The sequence below is a fragment of the Homo sapiens genome, chromosome 11 (assembly GCF_000001405.40).
Source record: "Homo sapiens chromosome 11, GRCh38.p14 Primary Assembly".
In the NCBI taxonomy this organism is placed as follows: Eukaryota; Metazoa; Chordata; class Mammalia; order Primates; family Hominidae; genus Homo; species Homo sapiens.
In genome coordinates, this window is record NC_000011.10 from 133,569,346 (window position 1) to 133,572,281 (window position 2,936).

Consider the following 2,936-nt stretch of genomic DNA (forward strand, 5'->3'; position numbering starts at 1 on the left):
ACAACATTGGTGGGTGGGTAAAATGGAATCATACCACTATATAGCCATTACAGTTGTGAAATAATACAGTAAGGAGAAATACATGAAGTGGTGTGTGTTACAATATTGACTCTGATTAAATTTTAATTGAAATTTTAGTTGAAATAATTCTAGAATACCAGGGACTTGTAAGAAATAATTCAGAGAGATCGTATGCACTCTTTACCCATTTGCCCCAACAGTAACATATTACAAACCTATAGTACCACATCATAACCAGAATACTGACATTGATCTAATCCATAGATCTGACTCAGATTTCCCCAGTTTTATTTGTACTTAATTATGTGTGTGTATTTAAGTTCTGTATAATTCTATCACAGGTGTAAGTTCTTGTTCCACCACGGCAGTCAGGATGCAGAGCCGTTCTACAGCCACAAGGATCCCTCCTGCTGCCCTTTTAAAGCCACACCCAGCTCCCTCCCCATTCTCTAATCTTTAGCAACCAGTACTCTATTTTCCATTTTTAAAATTTTGTCATAAAAAATTACATAAATGTAGTTATACAATAGGTAACCTTTGGGGATTTTTTAAAATCGGAATAATCCTCTGGAAATTCACGCAAGCAGTTGCATGTATCAGTAGTTTGTGCGTTTTTATTGTTGTGTAGTATTCTGTGGTGTGGACGTACCACAGATTGTTTAACACATCATCCATTGAGGCACATCTTGGTTGCTTCCAATTTGAGGTTACTACAAACAAAGCTGCTATGAGCATCTGTTTACATGTTTTTATGTGAGCATAAATTTTAATTTCTTTGGCATTTAGAATTTAAAAATGCGTATTATTATCCCCAGAACAGTAAAAAAAAAAAATACAAAGAATTATTTCTATGAGCTAGTTGAGGAAATAAATTGGAATAATATAAAATATTTCAGTAATCTAAAAGAAGACGGAAAGAAAAACAGAAAGCACAAATTGGAAAATGGTAAATTTAAACCCAATCATATGAATTATTACATTCAATGTAAATAGGTTTGAAGTAACACTAAGAGACTCGTTGTATAATCGGATTGACAAGAATCAGCTATCATGCAATATCAAACCTTACTACAAGTTTTAAGAATGTAGATAATAGCAAGACATGCAAAGCATGGAGACAGAGGGAGATGGCCAGCAACAACCTCATGTCCTCTCTTCCACATCAGGACATGTGCCCTCTCAGAGCTGACGCAGAAAATTCCCAGGTGACGCATGCCACCACTTACACAAAGGGAGTTCATTTGCTCATGAGTCATCTCTATTTTACATTCCAGTATTGTCTAGTAATTACCTAGATGACACAAACATTATCTAGCCAAAAACACAAATAGACTCCAGGTTTGTTTGACATAAATAATAATAGACAAACTAGGTATATATCCTCTTAAAAGCATTCCATAGATGAGAACTCATACACTGCTAATAACCATCAGGAGGTCCAGTTACCATGTTTATATATCATGTGATTTTAACTGATTATTTCTCCTGCAGGCATCCCTAATTGAAACAAACCATTTGTTTTGAAGACTTCCTTTCCCCTTCAAATGATGATGACTTTATTAAAATCAATTTACCATACATGTACAGATCTATTTTGGGACTCTTCATTCTTTTCCTTGGTCTCTAAGTGGTTTGGCCACTTATAAGTCACTTAACCTTTCTGAGACTCAGAGTCCTAATACATAACATAGCAATAACAATACGTAATTGATTGAATTATGTTGATGATTAATTGGGAAGTGCCTGGTATGTAAAAATATTCAGTAATTGATAGTTATGGTAAACATATTTTCTGAATGCAAATTAAGCTATAAAAACTAAAAAAAAGATTGTGTTTTCTCCCCTATTTGAGACTGTAAATACGGAAAATCATAGAAAAACATAATAAAATCACTTTAGTAATAAATCACCTTATGAAAATATAATTTCAAACAATGAGATAACCTATACCTCCACAAAAATCCTGAACATATTGTTGTTATAGAAATATGCAGCATATGAAATGTATATGCAGGTATATGAGGAAACTTCAAAAAGTTCATGGAAAAAAGTGAATTAAAAGATTAAAAATTAAAATGTAAACTTTATTTCTCAACATAATCTCCCTCGAGTTCAAGACACTTCTGTAAGTGATGGTGCCAGCCAATTAGTCCATTCCTAAAGAACTGAGTGTCCCGGGAATTTAATCATGTCAATGCAGTCTTTTTTACATTATTAACTGAAGAAAAATGGGAGTCTTTTAAAGATTTTTTAATATTAAGAAACTCAAAGTCATAGGGAGCCAAATCATGACTGTAAGGTGGATGCCTAATAATTTTCCATCAAAACTCTTACAAAATTGTCCTTGCTTGATGGCAGGAATGAGCAGGAGCGTTGTTGTAGTGAAGAAGGACTTTCTTGTGAAGCTTTCCCAGGACTTTTTCTGCTAAAGCTTTGGCTTTCTCAAAACACTCTCATAATAAACAGATGTTACCATTCTTTGACCCTCCAGAAATTCAACAAACAAAATGGCTTGAGCATCCCAAAAAAAACTTTTTCCAAGACCTTTGCTTTTGACTAATCTGCTTCTGCTGTGACTGGAGCGCTTCCACATCTTGGTAGCCATTGCTCTGATCGTGCATGGTCTTCAGGATTATACTGGGAAAGCCATGTTTCATCTCCTGTTAAAATTCTTCAAATAAATGATTCAGGATTTTGATCCCATTTGTTTAAAATTCTCATCGATACCTCTGCTCTTGTCTGCAGCTGACCTGAATACAATGGGTTTGTCATCCATCAGGTGGAAAGTTTGCTCAACTTTAATTTTTCAGTCAGAATTGTATAAGCTGAACCAATTGAGTTGCCTATGGTGTTGGCAATTGTTTCTGCTGTGAGTCGTCAGTTCTCTTCAATGAGGGCATAAACAAGATAAATTT

At 34.5% G+C, this 2,936-nt stretch overlaps 1 annotated feature.

Moving 5' to 3' along the window:
• Positions 852 to 2,051: an enhancer, noted in NCBI's record as "P300/CBP strongly-dependent group 1 enhancer chr11:133440092-133441291 (GRCh37/hg19 assembly coordinates)". NCBI's record gives its function as "activates an origin of replication core promoter dependent on BRD2, BRD4, P300/CBP, MED14 and CDK7 cofactors, with strong dependence on P300/CBP, by STARR-seq in HCT116 cells {active_cell/tissue: HCT116}" and the evidence as "EXISTENCE:reporter gene assay evidence [ECO:0000049][PMID:35650434]".